The sequence below is a fragment of the Homo sapiens genome, chromosome 12, assembly GCF_000001405.40.
Source record: "Homo sapiens chromosome 12, GRCh38.p14 Primary Assembly".
NCBI lineage: Eukaryota > Metazoa > Chordata > Mammalia > Primates > Hominidae > Homo > Homo sapiens.
In genome coordinates this window covers 8,749,208-8,773,203 of record NC_000012.12, presented here as the reverse complement: position 1 = coordinate 8,773,203, position 23,996 = coordinate 8,749,208, and the positions used below count along the sequence as shown (strand labels likewise).

The 23,996-nt window shown below is 40.8% G+C and overlaps 1 protein-coding gene across 43 annotated transcripts in view, besides 2 other annotated features; it reads right to left on the bottom strand.

The window, feature by feature from the left end:
* RIMKLB (ribosomal modification protein rimK like family member B) overlaps positions 1-23,996 on the bottom strand; it is a 114,454-nt gene that overhangs the window by 9,888 nt on the left and 80,570 nt on the right. For all 43 annotated transcript variants that reach the window (NR_123740.2, NR_147945.2, NR_147946.2 and 40 more), the window contains 3 exons: positions 23,112-23,342; positions 21,161-21,247; positions 19,111-19,314 (listed from right to left, as the gene is read on the bottom strand). Coding sequence is in view for 36 of the 43 variants with exons in the window: in XM_047429188.1 (XP_047285144.1) it covers positions 19,111-19,314; positions 21,161-21,247; positions 23,112-23,342 (522 nt within the window). In the remaining 7 variants the exon portion in view is untranslated. The remainder of the gene's footprint in view (positions 1-19,110; positions 19,315-21,160; positions 21,248-23,111; positions 23,343-23,996) is intronic.
* Positions 96-595: an enhancer, noted in NCBI's record as "H3K27ac hESC enhancer chr12:8925205-8925704 (GRCh37/hg19 assembly coordinates)". NCBI's record gives its function as "activates a minimal SCP1, AML or CMV promoter by ChIP-STARR-seq in primed H9 embryonic stem cells {active_cell/tissue: H9 hESC(primed)}" and the evidence as "EXISTENCE:reporter gene assay evidence [ECO:0000049][PMID:30033119]".
* Positions 596-1,097: an enhancer, noted in NCBI's record as "H3K27ac hESC enhancer chr12:8924703-8925204 (GRCh37/hg19 assembly coordinates)". NCBI's record gives its function as "activates a minimal SCP1, AML or CMV promoter by ChIP-STARR-seq in primed H9 embryonic stem cells {active_cell/tissue: H9 hESC(primed)}" and the evidence as "EXISTENCE:reporter gene assay evidence [ECO:0000049][PMID:30033119]".

The following is a 23,996-nucleotide window of genomic DNA, read 5'->3' as shown; positions in this document are numbered from 1 at the left end:
TCTAGTGTAAAATTAGGACTTCTAAGTCTAGATTTCCTTAATCAGGAATCCTCTCCCTATCCAGTCTCCCAGGAATTGATGATTTCGTAAGTTGTCAATATTTTTTCCAAGTCTATCTTACTTGCAATAATATAAACCAAGTATAAGGAAGTTCAGCATAAATACAATTAGACCACTTGATAGATGGCAAAAGTATTATTGGTTTTTGATTTATAAAAATAATAAAAATGCATAACAGAACGGAGGATGGGGTGAAATCTGGGAAGGTGGTGACGTGAACACAGTTTTCTTCCTCTATAGCCCCCACTTCAATCTAGCTGTCATTCCTAAACCAAAAGGCTTCTGGGTTATAAGGTAGCTGGCTGGATATAAGTGAAGTCTTTGGCCTTGCCAAAAGGAAGGAAGAGAAAGGAAGTAGAACTTGATTTTCTCACTTGGAGATCAGCTTCACGAAGCTCTGAACTAAGGACAGGAAAGTAAAGAACTTTAAGAAGAGCTTGGTTCCAAGAGCTCTGTGTATCCATAGGAGTGAGGATGACATGTGAGTTTACCCGTAGTGTTTGACCCCAAAAAGGCCAGAAGTAGCTGGACAGGTGAGGTGGATCCTCCCTACCACTGAGGCTGTAGGAATAAAGAAGTCAAGGAAACAAAAGGCTTCTTTTAGGTACCTCCGTAGAAGACTGGCCCGTGAATTAAATGATTCTGCTTCACAGCACTTCTAAGACTGAGGCCATGTAGAATACTACAAATAACCCAAGCTGAGTGAGCCCTGATGTAAAAACAAAACAATAATAATCCATCTATGACTTTGATGAAAGAAATAAGAGCTCTTTAAGGAGATTCAAGTTCAGCACAAAAAGATTTTCTGAAGTTAAAACAAAAACATGATTACTCAACTAAAAAATCCAATAGAGAAACTCAAAGAGAGTACAGTCGCTTTGAGAGTTGACTTAGAAAATCAAGTAATATGCAAAGCATAGCTAAAAATGTGAGGTGAAATCATAAAGATAAAAAATTTGGGCCAGCTGTGATGGCTCATGCCTGTAATCCCAACACTTTGGGAGGCTGAGGTGGATCACTTGAGGTCAGGAGTTCAAGACCAGCCTGGCCAACATGGTGAAACCTCGTTTCTACTAAAAATACAAAAATTAGCCCGGTGTGGTGGCAGGCGCCTATAGTTCCGGCTACTCAGGAAGCTGAGGCACAAGAATCGCTTGAACCCAGGAGGTGGAAGTTGCTGTGAGCCAAGATTGTGCCACTGCACTCCAGCCTGGGCGACAGAACGAGACTCCATCTCAAAAACAAAAACAAAAACAAAACAAAACAAAAACAAAACTGGAGAACTGAATCAGAAAAATATTCCTCAGAAGGACAGAAACAGATGGAGAGGCAATAATTAATGAAGACATTTTCCAGAAAACTGTATAAGGAAGAAATTTAGTCTGCTGACTAAAACAGCTAAAATCCAGGTTGAACTGATAAGACACAAATATATCTACAAAATCCCAATAAAATGTGAGCGCCACTAAAAAAATTTACAAAGAATAAATTACCCACAAAGGAAAAAAATGAGAGTAGATTTGGACATTAAACTGCAACAATAAAATCTTCAAGGCAGTAGAATTGAAGCTAGACTCTTACAATATAAGAATTATATCTCAGACAAAGTATTATTCTTCTTCCAAGGAGAAAGATGTGTGATATTCTGATCTAAATTATATATTGGTTTTTGTCCACAGTTCCTGGCATATCACTCCAACAGCCCTTGTTATAGTCTTTTGTTATAATGTTGGGGCACTTTCCTTAGAAAATAGAATCTAACCTTCCCCTGTCCTCCTTTCACCTACCCCACAGCAGGACTCTAATCTTTCACAGCCTTTCTGATTGTGGGTCATAAGACCTCATTCCAGATGAGGTCCTGCCCCATACCCTGGAGGAAGGAATGTGGCACAGAGAGGCCAAGAAGAATCTGAACATACAGGCCTTGCTGGGTTTCCCTACTCAGTCTACTAGTGTTAGATCATACCCTTTTGGTCCAATTACATTTTTACATGGTTATCAATTATGTCTATCCAATTGGATATCAAAAAGGGCAAGGTTCAGAAAACTTCTGGATAGCTGGACACGTAGAGGCTCCTGAAGGGTGGCAAGCCGTGGGAGGGCATGGAAGCTCCATATCCTTTCTCCCATACCTTGCCCTATGCATCTCTTCACCTGTATCCTTTGAAATATCCTTTATAATATACAGATAACACAATGTAAGTGTTCTTTGAGTTCTGTGAGTTGCTGTAGCAAATTAATCAAACCTAAGCAGAAAGTCACGGGAACCCCAACTTGAAGCCAGTTGGTCAGAAGTTCTGTAGGCCTGGACTTGCAACTGGTGTCTGAAGGGGGTGAGGTGGGAAGTTGGGGATATTCTTGGTGACTCCTGGTGACTGAGCCCTCAACCTGTCAGATCTGATGGTATCTCCAAATAGAGAAATCCCCCACACGTGGTCAAATAAGTGTTCCATGTGAATTGTTGTTGAATGAGAGAATAGAAAAAGCACTTTGAGTGTATTTTTTGTATTAACAGAATATGTGAGGGTATCTATGACTCTGATAGCCCACCAGGAAAAATAATCAAGAAATGATACTAACATACTAGTAAATGGCTAACAGAGATCTCAAGATATGGGAAGATGAATATGAGGAGTAAACCATGGTGAGTACTTTGCAATATAGGTATAATTCATTTTAAGTGGATAAAGACAGACTGCCTGGGAATGGATAAAGTGCTATATAAGGGTTCATGAAACAGAAGAGACATACAGTAAAACAAATTCCAAACAGATGAACTAAAACTATTAGATGATTTCAGCAAAACTGGAATATAAGGTCAATGAGACTAGGGATTTCTGTCTGTTTTGTTCACTAGTATATACAAAATACTGCTACAATAGGCCAGGCGCGGTGGCTCATGCCTGTAATCCCAGCACTATGGGAGGTCGAGGCGAACAGATCACCTGAGGTCAGGAGTTAGAGACCAGGCTGGCAAACATGGTGAAACCCCGTCTCTACTAAAAATACAAAAATTAGCTGGGTGTGGTGGCAGGTGCCTGCATGTGGGAGGCCAAGATAGGAGAATCACTTTAACCCGGGAAGCGGGGGTTGCAGTGAGCTGAGATCATGCCATTGCACTCCAAGCCTGGGCAACAAGAGCAAAATTCCATCTCCCAAAAAAAAAAAAAAAATTATTGCTACAACAGTACTTGACGCTTTGGAGGTACTTGAAACTATTTACTCAATAAATGAGTCAATCAAGTGGAAAGAGTAGGAAGGAAATAAAATTGTTCTAATATTCCCATTGGAGGGGAGAGGGAACAAGGAACACCAGGGGAAAGTAAAGGTATTCCAAAGACTTCATTATTATTATGATGATACAGTGAAGTAGTAAATAAAGTATCAAGGAAAATTATCTTCTCAAGTAACTGTAGAGAATCTGTCTGATTATGAGCATAAGAAAATAGAAGGTAACCATTAATGGAATGCAAAACCCTGGTTGATCTCCCAAATTAACTGGGTTTGGTGGCAGGAGTGAAAATAAAATGGTACCTTACTAACCAGCAAAAATTAGAAAAGAAAAAGAAAAAGGAACAATTTGAGTTAAATAATAAACACAAAATAAGATGGAAGAAATTTTAAGTATATTAGTAATTACACAAAAAATGGACCAAATCTTCCATTAAAAGATGGAAACTAGTCCGATTTGAATAAAAAACAAAACTTAGCTATATACTGCTTATAGAAAACACGCAAAATAAACTTACTTCACAGCTTTATTTCTCCTGACCAGAGTATATATCCATATATACATTTTTTCCTTTGTTAAATATAAAAAACAATTATGCTAGTCACACACCAAAAAAAATTAATGAAATTAAAAAAAAATGTTACAGGCCACATTCTCTGACAACATTAGTAAGTCAAGAAAATCAGAAGGTAATAGGGTAATGGTAAAGGTAGCCAAAAGAATATTAACTACTTTGAGGTTGCAAAACTGATCCCTTGGATCAAAGAAATCACAAAGGAAAATGAGAACCAACTGTAAATAAAAGAGAAAAATGCTTTGTATTAATACCTTCCAACACTGTGAAAATTCTCCAGAGGAAGATGTTTAACATGAATTGCCTTCATTTTGAAACAAGAAACTAAGTGTTCTAGCCAAAGAAACTAGGAAGAGAGATATAATGAAAACAAAAAGTAAAATGAATACAACAGAAAGATAGAATTTTTTAAAAATACAAAAGCTATTTTGACAAGAATAAGAATGACAATAAAGAGAATCACATACAAAGCAGAGATTAAAAGCAGCATATGCAAATATCTCACAAAACTCTTTGGCAAAAAACTGGAAACCTAAAAGAAATGTATCATTTTCCAAGCAAATGATAAATTTCCAAAACCGCCCCCAGAAGTGGCAAACTTTAACAGGGCAATTATTACAGAAGGGTTTCAGAAAGTGATAAAAGCTATTACTGCAAAAGGAACTAGGATGAGAAAGGTTCACGGCTCAGTTTTACTTAGCTATCCTTTATTCCAATGTTACTTTACCAATATAGAATGCCCTAGGAAAAGACTGAAAACTCCCCAATACATTAAATAAAGCCAGCATAACCTTAATATCAAATGTGATAAAGTTTTTTAAAAATAATAATATTGGCCAATCTTATAAAAACAGATGAAAACATTCTAAGGCAACCCCCTTTGGGTCCCCTCCCTTTGTACAGGAGCTCTGTTTTCACTCTATTAAATCATGCAACTGCACACACTTGTGGTCCGTGTTTGTTACGGCTCGAGCTGAGCTTTTGCTCACTGTCCATCACTGCTGTTTGCCACTGTCCCAGACCCACCGTTGACTTCCACCCCTCCAGATCCAGCAGGATGTCCTCTGTGCTCCTGATCCAGTGAGGCACCCATTGCTGCTCCTGATCGGGCTAAAGGCTTGCCATTGTTCCTGCACAACTAAGTGCCTGGGTTCTTCCTAATCGAGCTGAACAGTAGTCGCTGGGTTCCACAGTTCTCTTCCGTGACCCATGGCTTCTAATAGAGCTATAACACTCACCACATGGCCCAAGATTCCATTCCTTGGAATCCCTGAGGCCAAGAACCCCAGGTCAGAGAACAAGAGGCCTGCCGCCATATTGGAAGTGGCCCTGCCGCCATCTTGGGAACTCTAGGCACAAGGACCCCCTGGTAACATTTTGGTGACCACGAAGGGACCTCCAAAGCAGTGAATAATATTGAACCACTTTGGCTTGCTATTCTGTCCTATCCTTCCTTAGAATTGGAGGAAAATACCAGGCACCTGTCAGCTGGTTAAAAATAATTAGCATGGCCGCCAGACTTAAGACTCAGGTGTGAGGTTGTCTGGGAAAGAGCTTTCTAACAAACCCAAACCTTCTGGATTGGGAGCGTTGGTCTGCCTGGAACCAGCTTCCGCTTTCAATTTTCCTGGGATAGCTGAGGGCCGACTAGAAGCAGAAAGCTGTCATCCCGAACTCCTGGTGTTAGCCGGTTGAGATCATGGCGCAGACAGAAGTCTCTACTCAACAGATGCCCATGCGTACACCCCTACTTTTCCTTCTGACCCATAGCTTCTGGGTCCCGACCACGACTTTCTTGAAAGTGTAGCCCAAAATTCTCCTTACCTCTGAATCTACTTCCTCTGATCCCTGCCTCCTAGGTACTAATGATTCAGACTTTCATTTCCTCTAGCAAGCTGTATTTCCAAAGGGATCTAAGGAAGCTCTACACTGCGTCCTTAGGCCCCTAGGCTACGAAGCCAGAGAGTCTTGTCCCTGGTGTCTCTCCCAATTTAGGCATACAGCTCTCGACATGGGCAGTTATGTGGGACCTGTTCCCCACCACCCTTGCCAGGGCCCCAAGTTTGTAAAGGGCTAGGAGAAAAGAGAAAGAGAGACAAAGGGGGCCAAAGAGAGAAAGAGAAAGATAGAAGTAGTAAAGGAAAAACAGTGTGCCCTATTCCTTTAAAAGCCAGGGTAAATTTAAAACCTATAATTGATAATGGAAGGTCTTCTCCGTGACCCTGTAACACTCCAATACTACCTTGTTGTCAGGGTAAACAAGGGCGTAGCCCGAAAACACTGAGACCACTGACAACTCCGTAGCCTTCCTATCAAAAATCTTTCACCCAGTGACCCATGGATGGGCCAAATGCATTCAGTCGGTAGCGGCAACTGCATTGCTAAAAGTAGAAAAATAATCTTTAGAGGAAACCTCATTGTGAGCACCTCACCAGTTCAGAATTATCCTAAGTCAAAAAAGCAAAAAGTTAGCTTACTAACTCAAATCTTAAAGTATGGGGCTATTCTGTTAGAAAAAGGTGATTTAACATTAACCACTGAAAATTCCCTTAACCTAGCAGATTTCCTAACAGGGGATTTAAATCTTAATTACCATACAAAGGTCTGACCAGACCTAGGAGGAACTCCCTTCAGGACAGGAGATAGAGGGTTCCTCCCGGTGACTGAGGAAAAAAACACAGTGGGTATTCAGCAATTGATAGGGAGAATCTTGTGGAAGCAGAGTTAGGAAAATTGCCTAATAATTGGTCTGCTCAAACCTGCGAGCTGTTTGCACTCAGCCAAACCTTAAAGTACTTACAGAATCAAAAAGACTCTATCTCAATCCCGACTCAAAAGGTTACCTACACCCTCTCTGAAACAAATTTGCCTAAGAACTGTTGTTTATGGGAATGCATGTTGATGGGGCAGCTGGGGTGTTATGAAATGCTCAGGAACCCAGCCCAGCTCTAGAATTCACCTCTGAGTGCAAAGGCAACGTTGGGCACGCTGGTAAAGGACCACTAGAATCCAGCAGCCGGACCCCTTTCTTTGTGGTCAAGAAAGGCGGGAAAACAGGTGCAGGACTGCTACATCAGTGAGCGTAACTAATCCGATAAGCAGAAGTCCATGGGTGGTTACACACCCTGGAAAGGAATAAGCATTAAGACCATAGAGGACGCTCTAGGACTAATGCTCATCAGAAAATGATTTGGGGTGCTGGCATCCCTATGTTCTTTTTTTCAGATGGGAAACATTCCCCCCAAGGCAAAGTACATCTCCTAAGATGTACTTTGGAGAATTGGGACCAATTTGACCCTCAAACGCTAAGAAAGAAATGACTTATATTCTTCTGCAGTACTGCCTGGCCACGATATCCTCATCAAGGGGGAGAAACCTGGCCTCCCGACGGAAGTATAAATTATAACATCTTACAGCTAGACCTCTTTTGTATAAAAAAAGAGGCAAATGGAGTGAAGTGCCATATGTACAAACTTTCTTTTCATTAAGAAACAAGTCACAATTATGTAAAAAGTGTGATTTATGCCCTACAGGAAGCCCTCAGAGTCTACCTCCCTATCCCGGTGTCCCCCCAGCTTCTTCCCCAACTAATAAGGACCCAAAAGGAGATAGACAAAGGGGTAAACAATGAACCAAAGAGTGCCAATATTTCCCGATTATGCCCCCTCCAAGCAGTGCGAGGAGGAGAATTCGGCCCAGTCAGAGTGCATGTACCTTTTTCTCTCTCAGACTTGAAGCAAATTAAAATAGACCGGGGCAAATTATCAGATAACCCTGATGGCTATATTGGTGGTTTACAAGGGTTAGGACAATCCTTTGATCTGACATGGAGAGATATAATGTTACTGCTAAATCAGACACTAACACCAAATGAGAGAAGGGCCGCCATAACTGCAGCCCGAGAGTTTGGTGATCTCTGGTATCTCAGTCAGGTCAATGATAGGATGACAACAGAGGAAAGAACAATTCCCCAAGGCCAGCAGGCAGTTCCCAGTGTAGACCCTCACTGGGACACAGAATCAGAACATGGAGATTGGTGCCACAGACATTTGCTAACTTGCGTGCTAGAAGGACTAAGGAAAACTAGGAAAAAGCCTACAAATTATTCAATGATGTCCACTATAACACAGGGAAAGGAAGAAAATCCTACTGCCCTTCTGGAGAGACTAAGGGAAGCACTGAGGAAGCATTCCTCCCTGTCACCTGGCTATTAAAGGCCAACTAATCTTAAATGATAAGTTTATCACTCAGTCAGCTGCAGACATTAGAAAAAAACTTCAGAAGTGTGCCTTAGGCCCTGAGCAAAACTTAGAAACCCTATTGAACTTGGCAATCTCGGTTTTTTATAATAGAAATCAGGAGGAGCAGGTGGAATGGGGCAAACGAGATAAGAAAAAGGCCACTGCTTTAGTCATGGCCCTCAGGCAAGCAGACTTTGGAGGCTCTGGAACAGAAAGGCTGGGCAAATCCAACGCCTAATAGGGCTTGCTTCCAGTGTGGTCTACAAGGACACTTTAAAAAAGATTGTCCAAATAGAAATAAGCCGCCCCCTCGTCCATGCCCCTTATGTAAAGGGAATCACTGGAAGGCCCACTGCCCCAGGGGACGAAGGTCCTCTGAGTCAGAAGCCACTAACCAGATGATCCAGCAGCAGGACTGAGGGTGCCTGGGGCAAGTGCCAGCCCATGCCATCGACCTCACAGAGCCCCGGGTATGCTTGACCATTGAGGGCCAGGAGGTTAACTGTCTCCTGGACACTGGCGCAGCCTTCTCAGTCTTACTCTCCTGTCCCGGACAACGGTCCTCCAAATCTGTCACTATCCGAGAGGTCCTAGGACAGCCAGTCACTAGATACTTCTCCCAGCCACTAAGTTGTGACTGGAGAACTTTACTCTTTTCACATGCTTTTCTAATTATCCCTGAAAGCCCCACTCCCTTGTTAGGGAGAGACATTCTAGCAAAAGCAAGGGTCATTATACACCTGAATATAGGACAAGGAACACCCGTTTATTGTCCCCTACTTGAGGAAGGAATTAATCCTGAAGTCTGGGGAACAGAAGGACAATATGGACAAGCGAAGAATTCCTGTCCCGTTCAAGTTAAAGGATTCCGCCTCCTTTCCCTGCCAAAGGAAGTACCCCCTTAGACCCGAGGCCCAACAAGGACTCCAAAAGATTGTTAAGGACCTAAAGCCCAAGGCCTAGTAAAATCATGCAGTAGCCCCTACAATACTCCAATTTTAGGAGTACAGAAACCCAACGGACAGTGGAGGTTAGTGCAAGATCTCAGGATTATCAATGAGGCCGTTGTCCCTCTATACCCAGCTATACCTAACCCTTATACTCTGCTTTCCTAAATGCCAGAGGAAGCAGAGTGGTTTACAGTTCTGGACCTTAAGGATGCCTTTTTCTGCATCCCTGTACATCCTGTCAATTTTTGTTTGCCTTTGAAGATCCTTCAAACCCAACGTCTCAACTCACCTGGACTGTTTTACCTCAAGGGTTCAGGGATAGCCCCCATCTATTTGGCCAGGCATTAGCCCAAGACTTGAGCCAGTTCTCATACTGAAGGACACTCTTGTCCTTCGGTACGTGGATAATTTACTTTTAGTCGCCCATTCAGAAACCTTGTGTCATCAAGCCACCCAAGCGCTTTTAAACTTCCTCGCCACTTGTGGCTACAAGGTTTCCAAACCAAAGGCTCAGCTCTGCTCACAGCAGGTTAAATACTTAGGGCTAAAATTATCCAAAAGCACCAAGGCGCTCAGCGAGGAACGTATCCAGCCTATATTGGCTTATCCTCATCCCAAAACCCTAAAGCAACTAAGAGGGTTCCGTGGCATAACAGGCTTCTGCTGAATATGGATTCCCAGGTATGGCGAAATAGCCAGGCCATTATATACACTAATTAAGGAAACTCAGAAAGCCAATACCCATTTAGTCAGATGTACGCCTAAAGCAAAAGCGGCTTTCCAGGCCCTAAAGAAGGCCCTAACCCAAGCCCCAGTGTTAAGCTTGCCAACAGGCCAAGACTTTTCTTTACATGTAACAGAAAAAAAACAGGAATAGCTCTAGGAGTCCTTACACAGGTCCGAGGGACCAGCTTGCAACCTGTGGCATACCTGAGTAAGGAAACTGATGTAGTGGCAAAGGGTTAGCCTCATTGTTTATGGGCAGTGGCAGCAGTAGCAGTCTTAGGATCTGAAGCAGTTAAAATAATACAGGGAAGAGATCTTACTGTGTGGACATCTCATAATGTAAACAGCATACTCACTGCTAAAAGAGACTTGTGGCTGTCAGACAACCATTTGCTTAAATATCAGGCTCTATTAAAGAGCCAGTGCTGCAACTGTGCACTTGTGCAACTCTTAATCCAGCCACATTTCTTCCAGACAATAAAAAAAAGAACATAACTGTCAACAGGTGATTGCTCACACCTACGCCGCTTAAGGGGACCTTCTAGAGGTTCCCTTGACTGATCCCGACCTCAACTTGTATACTGATGGAAGTTCCTTTGTAGAAAAAGGACTTCGAAAAGCAGGGTACGCAGTGCTCAGTGATAATGGAATACTTCAAAGTAACCCCCTCACTCCAGGAACTAGCGCTCAGCTGGCAGAACTAACAGACCTCATTCAGGCACTAGAATTAGAAGGAAAAAGGGTAAATATATATACAGACACTAATATGCTTACCTAGTCCTCCATGACCACGCAGCAATATGGAGAGAAAGGGAATTCCTAACTTCCAAGGAACACCTATCAAACATCAGGAAGCCATTAGGAGATTATTCTTGGCTGTACAGAAACCTAAAGAGGTGGCAGTCTTAAACTGCCGGGGTCATCAGAAAGAAAAGGAAAGGGAAGTAGAAGGGAACCACCAAGACGACACTGAAGCCAAAAGAGCCGCAAGGCAGGACCCTCCATTAGAAATGCTTATAGAAGGACCCTAGCATGGGGTAATCCCCTCCGGGAAACCAAGCCCCAGTACTCAGAAGAAGAAATAGAATGGGGAACCTCACGAGGATGTAGTTTCCTCCCCTCAGGATGGCTAGCCACCAAAGAAGGAAAAATACTTTTGCCTGCAGCCAACCAATGGTAGTTACTTAAAACCCTTCACCAAACCTTTCACTCTCGCTGCACCTCCTCCTTGCCGCTGTACTACCAGTAGCTCCCTTTACCAAGAGCTTCTATGGAGAATGCAGCTTCCCAGAAATATTGACGCCCCATTGTAGTTTTTCTAAAGGAAACCCCACTTTCACCACCCACACCCATATGCCCCTGCACTTCAGGTCATACATTTCAATTCCTGTATCTTTAACCTCCTTGTTAAGTTTGTCTCTTCCAGAATCAAAGCTATAAAACTACAAATGGTTCTTCAAATGGGGCCCCAGATGCAGTCCATGACTAAGATCTACCGCAGACCCCTGGACCGGCCTGCTAGCCCATGCTCCGATGTTAATGACATCGAAGGCACCCCTCCCGAGGAAATCTCGACTGCACGACCCCTACTATACCCCAATTCAGCAGGAAGCAGTTAAAAGCAGTCGTCAGCCAACCTCCCCAACAGCACTTGGGTTTTCCTGTTGAGAGGGGGGACTGACAGACAGGACTAGCTGGATTTCCTAGGCCAACTAAGAATTCCTAAGCCTAGCTGGGAGAGGTGACTGCACTCACCTTTAAACACAGGGCTTGTAACTCAGCTCACACCCGACCAATCAGGTAGTAAACAGGGCTCACTAAAAGACAAATTAGGCTAAAGCAGGCGGTAAAGAAATAGTCAAATCATATTATCGCCTGAAGAGCACAGGGGGAGGGGCAATGATCGGTATATAAACCCCAGGCATTTGAGCAGGGAGCGACAATCCCCTTTGGGTCCCCTCCCATTTTATGGGAGCTCTGTTTTCGCTCTATTAAATCTTGCAACTGAAACAAAAAAAGATCTAAATAAAATATGAAAAAAACAAATTCGGTAATTTTTGAAAGAACAGTAAGCTATCCAAAGAAGGTTTATTTTTAAAATGCAAAGGGCAATTTGGAAAAACAAATTCTTTTTTTTTTTTTTTTTTTGCTATCTCCCCCTCACCCTCTCGTCTCAACCACCTGAGTTAACCGGGTTTACAGGCATGTGCCAGCATGCCAAGCTAATTTTTGTATTTTTTGTAGAGATAGAGTTTAGCCATGTTGCCCAGGCTGCTCTCAAACTCCCGAGCTCAAGGCCCACCCTGGCCTCCCAAAGTGCTGGGATTACAGGAATAAGCCACTGCACCCGGCCAGAAAAATTATTTTTAATCTAAAATATATCAACATAATCCATCACACCAAGAAATTAAAGGTCTTAAGGATCCTTATTAGGATAGCTAAATAAAACTGAGCTGTGAACCTTTCTGGTCCTAAATTAAAGATGCCAAGATGGCACAGCAAAAGAAACTACCATCAGAGTGAACAGGCAACCTACAGAATGGGAGAAAATTTTTGCAATCTACTCATCTGACAAAGGGCTAACATCCAGAATCTACAAAGAACTCAAACAAATTTACAAGAAAAAAACAACCCTATCAACAAGTGGGCGAAGGATATGAACAGACACTTCTCAAAAGAAGTCATTTATGCAGCCAACATACACATGAAAAAATGCTCATCATCACTGGCCATCAGAGAAATGCAAATCAATAACCACAATAAGATACCATCTCACACCAGTTACAATGGCGATCATTAAAAAGTCAGGAAACAACAGGTGCTGGAGAGGACGTGGAGAAATAGGAATGCTTTTACACTGTTGGTGAGACTGTAAAGTAGTTCAACCATTGTGGAAGACAGTGTGGCAATTCCTCAGGGACCTATAACTAGAAATACCATTTGACCCAGCCATCCCATTACTGGGTATGTATCCAAAGGATTATAAATGCTGCTGCTATAAAGACACATGTACACGTATGTTTATTGTGGCACTATTCACAATAGCAAAGACTTGGAACCAACCCAAATGTCCATCAATGATAGACTGGATTAAGAAAATGTGGCACATATACACCATGGAATACTATGTAGCCATAAAAAAGGATGAGTTCATGTCCTTTGTAGGGACATGGATGAAACTGGAAACCATCATTCTCAGCAAACTATCGCAAGGACAAAAACCAAACACCGCATGTTCTTACTCATAGGTGGGAATTGAACAATGAGAACACTTGGACACAGGAAGGGGATCATCACACACGGGGGCCTGTTGTGGGGTAGGGGAAGGGGGAGGGATAGCATTAGGAGATATACCTAATGTAAATGACGAGTTAATGGGTGCAGCACACCAACATGGCACACGTATGCATATGTAACAAACCTGCACGTTGTGCACATGTACCCTAGAACTTAAAGTATAATAAAAATAAATAAAAAATAAAGATGCCAAGATGGCACAGGATAAAATCTGACAATCATCCCTCCTAAACACTCTAATAGAATCTCTAATAGAATCAATCTCCTTAAATATAGTATCCTAAATAGCAAAACACTAAACCTATTTCAGTGGAAATCAGAAACTAGACAGAAATCACTGCAATCCTTATTGCTTAACACTATACTGGAGGTTCTAAAGCAGTGGTTCTCAACTGGGGAGAATCTGGAAATTGTATGGTGGCATTTCTGCTTGTTTGAGATCTGGGGCGGACATATTGGCATTTAGTAGTCGTTGGTCAGAAATGCTATGCAAAAGACAAAACTGCCCAATTTAAAACTAAGCAAATATAATGAAGAGCAATACATACACAAGTAAATACAAATGACCAAATAAACTATGAAAAGATTCTCTCATCGTTCATGGTGAGAAAAATACAAATTAAAATAGCCATAAGATAGCAATTAATTCTCATCTGATTGGAAAAAAAATTGCAAGTTGAAATGCAAAAAGTTATGGGCTTTTTAAAAAGTAATCTGATTGATTATTTAGAGACGGAGTCTTGCTCTGTTGCCCAGGCTGAAGTGCAGTGACACGACCTTGGCTCACTGCAACCTCTACCTCCCAGGTTCAAGTGATTCTCCTGTCTCAGCCTCCTGAGTAGCTGGGACTACAGGTGGCTGCCACCATGCCCAGCTAATTTTTGTATTTTTAGTAGAGATGGGGTTTCACCATGTTGCCCTTTGGTCTCAAACTCCTGACCTCAAGTGATCCTCCCACCTCAGCCTCCCAAAGTGCTGGGATTACAGCATGAGCCACTGTGCCTGGCCATACATTTTTTTAAATATGTATTTTGTTCCATCAATTCCAACCTTGATGAGACTTATCAAGACAAAGGCACCAGTATATAAAGCAAAGCATATTCACAGGATGTTTATAGTATTATTGCTCACAATAGTAAAACACTGAATACAAATTGCAATTCAATTCTGGCAAACAAGGTAGAGAGGCTCTTGCTCTATCAGATATCTACCCATAGTACCAAAAGAATAAAGACTGGTATTCATACATAAAAAGCACGATACAATAGACTAAGGGACCTTGCAATAGACCAATGCACATATGGAAATTAAACACGTTACAAAGTAGTAATAAACAGACTATTCAATAAGTAGTGTTCAGACAACCGGTTATTCATTTCGAAAAAAGAAAACAGGATCTCCTTCATGATGCTGAACAGCAAAATCAATTTCAGGTAGATTAAAGTCCTAAACACGGAAAAGCTTTTAGAAGACTATTCAAGAACTGAACATGACCAAAGGGTGGAGAAGAATTTCTTCAATTTAAAAATAGTAGAGAATATAAAGAAATAGATGAATATGCTTGACATTAAAAGGGACAATTTTTGTCCATCAAAATCTATAATCAAAAAAAAGAAGAAGAAATACCACAGACTGGGATGAAAATACTGTACTTACAATTCATATAACTGACAGAAGAATTTGAAGTCAGATTAGATAAATCTGGTCAGGTGCAGTGGCTCAAACCTGTAATCACTGGACTCTGGGAGGCTGAGATGGGAGGATCACTTGAGGCTAAGAGTTCAAGACTAGCCTGGGTAACATAGCAAGACTTCACCTCGATAAAAAATAAGGTATTTTTATAAAGGAAAAAAAGAAAAAGAGCCTGCAGATCAATACAAAAAAGGAAAAAAAAAATCTCGATTAAAAAAGGACACAAAGGACCTGAACAGGCAATTCATAGATGAGATACCAGAATATGCACTAAAAAAAAGCAAACAGATGCATAATCTCAACAGTGAGAGATAAATTAAAATAATGACATGACAGGCCAGGCGCAGTGGCTCACGCCTGTAATCCCAGCTCTCAGGGAGGCAAGAGGCAGGAGGATAGCTTGAGCCCAGGAGTTCGAGACCTGCCTGGGCAATATAGCGAGACCCCATTCTCCAGAAAAAGGAAAAAAAAAAAAAAGACAAAAGTTCACATTATTTTGGCAGGTTTAATGTCTACCGACCTTACAGGTTGGCAAGAAGTTGGCACTATAAGAAACTATTCAATGAGGAGAAATTCTAAGGTAGTATGCTCACTTTGGAGAATCATTTGGCAATATCTAGTAGAGCTGAAGTTATTGTAATACACTACAACACAGAAATCCCACTTCTGGGTGAATGGGCTAACCCAGAAATACTCTTGACGATGTATCTAAGGATGAAGTTTTATAACATAAAATAATAACTAGTTTAGGAATACAGACAGAAGAACTAAAAGTACATTATAGGAAAGATAAATACCAAGTTCAGGATGTGGGGAAGAGAGAAGAAAATGATCAGAGAGAGTAAACAGATAACTATATTGACAACTTATTTCTAAAGCTGGTTAATGGGTGCAAAGGAATCCTTTATACCTTTTTGTAAGCCTCAATGATCTCAAAACAACTTTTTTTTTTTTTTTTTTTGAGACAGGGTCTTGCTGTGTCACCTAGGCCAGAATGCAGCCTCCCAAGTAGCTGGGACCAGAGGTGTGAATCACCACGTCTGGCTTATTTAATTAATTAATTTTTTATAGAGATGGGGTCTCTCTACATTGTTCAGGCTGGTCTCAAACCTCAGGGCTCAAGCCATTCTCTTGCCTCGGCATCCCAAAGTGTTGGGTGGGGGACTACAGGACTGAGCCACAGCACCTGACCTCAAAACAAACTTAATGAAAAAAGTATACTTCTTAATATAAAACTAAGTTACTTTCTAAAGTTCCTTTTGCCTGAACTATGAAGAGTAACTATTAATTAAATCTCAATGTAGTAAAGTAAAAGTGACTCATAAAAGAAAAGATGCCATTTAGCTCTCTTCTAGCTAGTCAGCAGGACGTGTTATAATGAAAAATTAAAATGAGACATGAAGAGCTAATTCAAGGAGGCAGAAGTCATTTTTCAAGAATAGGAAGTAGGCTGGGCACGGTGGCTCACACCTGGTGGCTTCCAGCAATTTGGGAGGCTGATCACTTGAGGCCAGGAGTTCAAGACCAGCCTGGTCAACATGGTGAAACCCCATCTCTACTAAAAATACAAAAATTAGCCCAGCATTGGGGTGCACACCTGTAGTCCCAGCTACTCAGGAGGCTGAGGCACGAGAATTGCTTGAACCTGGGAGGCAGAGGTTGCAGTGAGCTGAGATCACACCACCGTACTTCAGCCTGGGTGGCAGAGCAAGACTCCATCAGAAAAAAAAAAAAAAAAAAAAAAAAAGTAGAAAGTAAAATTAATATAACCAATATCTTTCAAATCTTCACTGTGTTCTTACTCTATCATGTATTCTGAATAAGCCACCATATTGAATTTCATACTTATCAATATATTGCCTTTTCTTTAGTTTTACTAAATGTTTGTATTCCCAACACTGCATTGTTTAGTTTTGCATATATTTAAATTTTATATAAATGCAATACATGTATTCTCTTCTTTGACTTGCCTTTTTAAATGAACATTATGTTTCTGAGATTCATCCATGTGATTATAGATCTCAGAGAGATAAGTAGGAATCTGGGGCCTGGTAGCCAGGGCAAGAACTTAAAATTTTTCTGGGAATGAAACTGGGGAGCTATTGGAGGAATTTTTTTTATTTTTGTTTTTGAGACAGGCTGGAGTGCAGTGGTACGATCATGGTTCACTGCAGCCTCGACCGCCCAGGCTCAAGCAATCTTTCTGCCTTAGCTTCCTGAGCAGCTGGGACCACAGGTGCATGCCATGATGCCCAGCTAATTTTTTTTTTTTTTTTTTGAGGCAGAGTCTCACTCTGTTGCCCAGGCTGGAGTGCAGTGGTGCAATCTTGACTCACTGCAACCTCTGTCTCCTGGTTCAAGAGATTCTCATGCCTCAGCCTCCAGAGTAGCCGGGACTAAACAGGAATGTGCCACTGCACCTGGCCAACTTTATATTTTTAGTAGAGATGGGGTTTCACCATGTTAGCCAGGCTAGTCTTGAACTCCTGGCCTCAAGTGATCCATCGACCTTGGCCTACGAAAGTGCTGGAATTACAGGTTTGGGCCACCAAGCTTGGCCCCAGCTAATTTATTTTTATATTTTGTAGAGACAGGGTCTCTCCCTCGATTGCCCAGGCTGGTTTTGAACCTTGAGGTCAGGATGATCTTCCTGCCTCAGCCTCCCCAAGTGTTGGGATTACCAGTGTGAGCCATTGTGCCCGGCCCTATCGGAGGATTTTGAGCAAAGGCTGATTTGACTTGCAATGTAAAAGCATCCGTCATATCACTGCGGTGTTAGGAAGAGATTAGGAGGGAAGGGTAGAAGCAAGAAGACCCCTTAAGGGGCTACTGTAGGTAATCCAAATAAGAGAAGGTGGTATTAGGAGTGCAGATGGTAAAAAATGGTCAGATTTGGAAACATTCTGAGTAGAGATTTCAAGGGGTTCCTGACAATTTGAATATGAGGTATAAGAAAAGAGAGGGACCAGGATGCCTCTAAGGATTTGGGTCTAAATCAGAAAAACAGAGCTGTCATTAACCAATAGAGAGAGGCTGGATGTGGTGGCTCTCATCTATAATCCCACAAGTTTAGAAGGCCAATGAAGGAGGATTACTTGAGCCCAGGAGTTTGAAACCAGCCTGAGCAACATAGGGAGACCCTATCTCTACAAAAAAAAAAAAATGTAAAAAATTAGCCCGGCGCTGGGTGTGGTGGCTCATGCCTGTAATCCCAGCATTCTGGGAGGCCGAGGCAGGCATATCACCTAGGTCAGAGGTTTGAGACCAGCCTGGTCAACATGGTGAAACTCCGTCTTTACTAAAAATAAAAAAATTAGCTGGGCATGGTAGCAGGTGCCTGTAGTCCCAGCTACTCAGGAGGCTAAGGCAGGAGAATCACTTGAACTCATGAGGTGGAGGTTGCAGTGAGCTGAGATTGCACCACTGCATTCCAGCCTGGGTGACAGAGTGAGGCTCGTTTCAAAAAATAAAATAATTAGACGGGCATGGTGGCATGTGCCTGTGGTCTCGGCTACTTAGGAGGCTGAAGCAGGAGGATCGCTTGAGCCTGGGAGGTTGAGGCTGCAGTGAGCTGTGATCCTGCCACTGCACTCCAGCCTGGGAGACAGACAAGACCCCATCATTCACTCACTCATACATACATACATATATACATATATAAGAATAAAATGATAAGGAGATAACTACAGGTAGAACACATTGTAAGGAGTTCAGTTTTGGAGATACTGAGTAAGCAATTCCTTATATAAACCTGGAGGTGGAGCAGGGAAAAAAGCCTAAATTGGAGATAGAAATTTGGAAATAATAAACATACAAATGGTATTTAAAGTCATGAGCTGTACAAGATTACTAAGGAAGTGATATAAACAGAGAAGAGGAGGATAAAAACCCAAAGCCTAAGCTCTGATGTACCTAACAATAAGAGATCTGAGAAAATACATATTTAAGAAAATCAAAATCAGCAATCTTGTTTGGACCAATGGGTAAAATGGGTTATGACATCTTATAGGAACTCCAATTATATACAAAATAAGTACATCACCAAAGAGGGAATCTCTTAACTTTTGTCAGATAACCAATACATGTGTAAATTGGGTTACAAATTGAGAACGGGTGAAGGCAGATTTAATATGATTCAGTGAAACAGAATTATATTACTAGAAAAATAACTCAAGAGTTTAATTACATTGATGGCATGTGTAAAAATCATATTTACATGTAAAAGGAAATACGTTTTTCAACTTATTAAGAAGGTCTAGAGTTACATACATATGAATACTCACTGGACAATTATAAATGTTACTTTATATACTAGAAAGATAATTGCATTATTTTTACCTAATGAGCAGTTGCTTTGCATTCTCCCATCTGTTGAACAACGTAACATGGTGCCAACCACACGGCCTCCCACGACAATGACACGTACATCCCGTCCATGAGACTCTTTAACATACTTCTGGAACAGGTATGGCGCTTCATGGCGAATAAGATGGCTTAGATCAGCCAAATGGTGCTTATCTCGAGCCAAGAAAACAGCTTTACCTATGATTGAAAAGAATAAAAATACATGTTAAGTCATCAATTGTGGGCAGATGATACCTATTATCTGAATCTTCTTGTATCACAATCTGCTATTTCAGAACCAACTACATTTTTTTTTTAAGTTTTCTTTGTTAGAACTGTTTTAACAGTGAAATAATACAAAAATATATAAAGACAAGGTAAATAGTCTCCTTTTACTACTCCCTAAACTCTTTCATGACAAACTAAAATTTATTTTGATATATGCTGAGGCAGGGGTCTAGATTTGTACTTCTCCCCAGGTTAGCCAATAATGAAACCTTATTCACTAGCAAATCTTTTTATCTCTGAATTAAAACATGTGTGATATATTATTATAGAATACATTAATATACGATATTAGGATATAGTAATATAGCAGTATGTTACCTCAATTTATTTCTGAATTCTCTAGCCTGTTCCACTGCTCTATTTGTCTATTTCTGTGCCAACGGAAGTGGCTGTTTTTGATATATGGTTCTAAATTCTTCCCATGGTGGGGAGGGGAAAGGAGGGATACTGAATCTATGTCACTTCTGGCTGAATCTAGGAGGGCTTGTGATTGCTCCAAACAAGAGAATATAGCAGAAGTAATTCTATTATGACTTATGAGGGTAGACCATAAAAGGTCATACAGATTCTTTGTTCACTTTAGCATTCACTGCAGGAGGCCTGAGACTCTTGGCTGCTCTACTGGAGAAGCCAAATATAAAGAATCCAGTCAATAGTTCCAGTTGAACTCTGATCCAGCCATCCCTGCCGAAACACAAAATATGTCACTGTACTCAGACTGATATATCATTTTATGCCTTAAAATCCTACCTTAGGCTGGGCGCAGTGGCTCACACCTGTAATACCAACACTTGGGGAGGCCGAGGCAGGTGGATCACCAGAAGTCAGGAGTTCGAGACCAGCCTGGCCAACATGGTGAAACCCCGTCTCTACTAAAAATAGAAAAAACAAAGTAGCTGGGCGTGGTGGCAGATGCCTGTAATTCCAGCTACTTGGGAGGCTGAGGCAGGAGAATCGCTTGAATCTGGGAGACAGAGGTTGCAGTGAGCTGAAATCACGCCACTGCACTCCAGCCTGGGCAACAAGAGCAAAACTCCATCTCAAAAAAAAAACAAAAAACAAACAATAACAACAACAACAACAACCTACCTAAACTACCTTAATTCAAAGTCATTAAGATATTTTCATATGCCATCTTGTAAAGTGTTATAGTTTTACCTTACGCATTTAAGTCTTCAAACTATATATCTTTAGAGGGCAATGACTGGAGTTAGTGATCTAAGGTCTTATTGTTTCTTTGCCCTTTTTTAGACACAGTCTGGCTCTATCGACCAGGTTGGAGTGCAGTGGTGTGATCTCGGCTCACTGCAACCTCCGCCTCCCGGGTTCAAGCAATTCTCTTCCCTCAGCCTCCCGAGTAGTTGGGATTACAGGCGTATGCCACCACATCTGGCTAATTTTTGTATTTTTAGTTGAGGCGAGGTTTCACCACATTGGCCAGCTGGTCTTGAACTCCTGACCTCAGGCGATCCGCCTGCCTTAGCCTCCCAAAGTGCTGGGATTACGGGCGGTCTTTACATTATTGAGGAAGATACAGACATTAACTTGAGACTCAGTCTAAGTATGTATGTTAAAATCTCTAGGTAACCACTAAACAAATAGCTTTTAGCCAAACTGAACAACTCATAGTAGCCTTCTGTAAGTCTGAGGTATCATGCATCTAACAATTTCCCTCTAACTATTCTTCAAAGTCACTCCATATTAATAAGCAAGAATAGTTTCAAAACTATATACCTTACCAACAACTCATACATACCTCTGTGACCCCGCGTATTCTTTACTACCATTGGGAACTCCAGAACTTCAGCCTCATCAATCATTTTAGCAAAATTTTCGTGGCCACCTGGTTTGAGCAATACAAAAATTTAAGACAAACAGCAGCAGAAGTATTTTGTGATCAATTTTATCAACGCTAAAGACAACCAACAGCACAAGGAAGTTGAAGGTAAGAGCCTGATGGCTAACTTTTTTTCTTGGAGAAAGTATGTGTAAGTTGAAAATATAACAGAATATCAGTTTAAAACAAATAATAGCTCCCTTAATCTATACATATTCTGATATCTAACTTAAGTATCTTTCAGCTAAAGAGTTTCCTAATTCTATGCCATTTCTCATGTTTTTATCCTTATTATTCTCCCACACAAATAACAGAAGCCCCAAGATTTACTTTAATATATTCAATTCCCTGCTTGGATTAAGGAACTGAAGAATGAGTTGGTTAAGATCTATCCAAGGTTGAAGAGATGCTGCACACACTGACACATTCTCTTTTTATTATCAACAAACACACACACACCAATTTTTCTTATCTCCATTACTAATCAGAGTTCTTTCTACACTAGGGTAACTAAGCATCCTGGGTTAAGTCTCCTTTCTTATTCTTTTTATTGCCCAAAAACAAATGATACAATAACAAGGTTAGAGCAAAAATAGACTGTAGCTACAAAAATCAGCATGATTAGAGAGAAAAGCTGAGACAGGAAAAAGTCCATTAAACAAGTGAAATACGAGAAATGTGTAGCGTTGCAAAATTATGACTTGGTCACCAAATTTTAATCCTTCATCAATAGAACAAAGGTAATACTTGTTAATTTGGTTAACCTTTTTTTCCTTCTTTCCATTCTCATAAAATCAAAATTGTACAATCATGTTATAAACTATTAATATCCCCAAAGCACTAAAAACACAGAATTCTCAACTTATATTAATTCTGTCTCTTCTTATGCAATTGCTAAAAACAGAAACTGCGTCCACACATGCCATACAGGCTTGGTGGGGGTTGAGGGGGAAGAGTTCCTTTTTTTTAAAATATTAACAATAAGGAGAGGACAAGGGTTCCTTTGTAAAGCCTCATGAAATCTCCAAGCACTCTACTGGATATTTATTTGGAGAAATACCTTTATGGAAAACTCTGATTTAAGTTTGATCTTTTCCAAACAAGAAAATTAAAGGCAGGAAATACATTAGCAAAATATTGTTTAAAGCAGTGCTACTCAGAATGTGGTCCTGTAACCTATGCCTGGATAGGACTTGTTCACTACTGTTATGTGGTCAGATAAATACAAAAAGGGTAGGCAGCAGAAGCTTTTATAGCAATCTGGCACTGCTGTGATCATTTTATTATATTTTACATGAGTATTAATCTACCACAGATTGATCTTTTAAAAAAAAAAACCCTTTTACCAGAAGTTCGAAAGCATTGCTACACCTACTAAAGTGTTACTTTCTTTAAAAACATTAAAATATTTGAGTTATCAAAATGGTAATGAAGAAAATGAAAAACTAATGTCATAAAATTAGAATTATCTTTTACCACAGAGGTTGGCAAACTAAGGCCTGTGGGTCAAATTTGACCTATCAGCTGTTTTTATAATAATAAAGTTTCATCGGAACAAAGCTACTCATTTGTTTAAGCATTGTCTATAACAGCTTTCATGCTACAACAGCATTACGGAGGGTTACCAGAGAACTTAATGGCTTATAAAACCTAAAATACTTACAATCTTGCCCTTTACAGAAAAAGTTTTCTAACCCTATTTTCCCCCATAATATGAAACAAATCTTAAGATATAATTTATAATTATCCTGTCCAGTGTGTTAAAACTGAAAGACACTTCTATAAGGTGTTCTTTCATGTCTGTAAATTTATCCTATTAAAACTATCAGTGGTTAATATTCAGGCTATGTATGCTCTTTAGTAGGCTCACCATAAGAGAAAGTATCCGGCAGAGGAACACCATGGCCAGCCAACTCTTGAAATGTCCAGAACTTATTAACGCAGTTCAGGATGGCTTGAGGTCGGTTCATTAACCGACATCCCATCTTCTCTAGATGGCGCAAAACAGTGATGTCACTATCACTTTGCACCCAAGGGGTTGGTACTCTGACTACCACCACTTGTGGGTAGGCAGTGATTAGCTCTCCATTGATCCGCAGACCTGAAATATATAAATACAAGACCAACACAATTAGAGGGAAATATACAACAAAATAGAGGAATAGTAATACGCCAAAGTTTGGATCACAAAATGAAATGTACTATTTTGTTAATATTAAATTGGGATAGAGATACTCCTAAGAAAAAAGAAAATTTAATTAGAAAAATCTCTGATTAAAGAAATTATAGTACACATCACTACAATGAATTACCACATAGCCATTAAAAAGAATGTCATAAACATATATGTTCAGAGATGAACAAATGCCCAGATACATAATGCTGAGTTTTTATTTTAAAGGGCAAATCTGAGAAAAAGTTTTATTTGTGCATACACATAAAAAATACCTAAGTGGGCCGGGTGCAGTGGCTCATGCCGTAATCCCAACACTTTGGGATGCCAAGGTGGGTGGATCACGAGGTCAAGAGATCAAGGCCATCCTGGCCAACATGGTGAAACCCCAACTCTACTAAAAATACAAAAACTAACTGGGTGTGGTGGCAGGCACCTCTAATCCCAGCTACTCGGGAGGCTGAGGCAGGAGAATCACTTGAACCAGGCAGGTGGAGGTTGCAGTGACCAGAGATAGTGCCACTGCACTCCAGCCTGGTGACACAGAGAGACTCAAAAAAAAAAAAAAAATCTAAGTGGTTT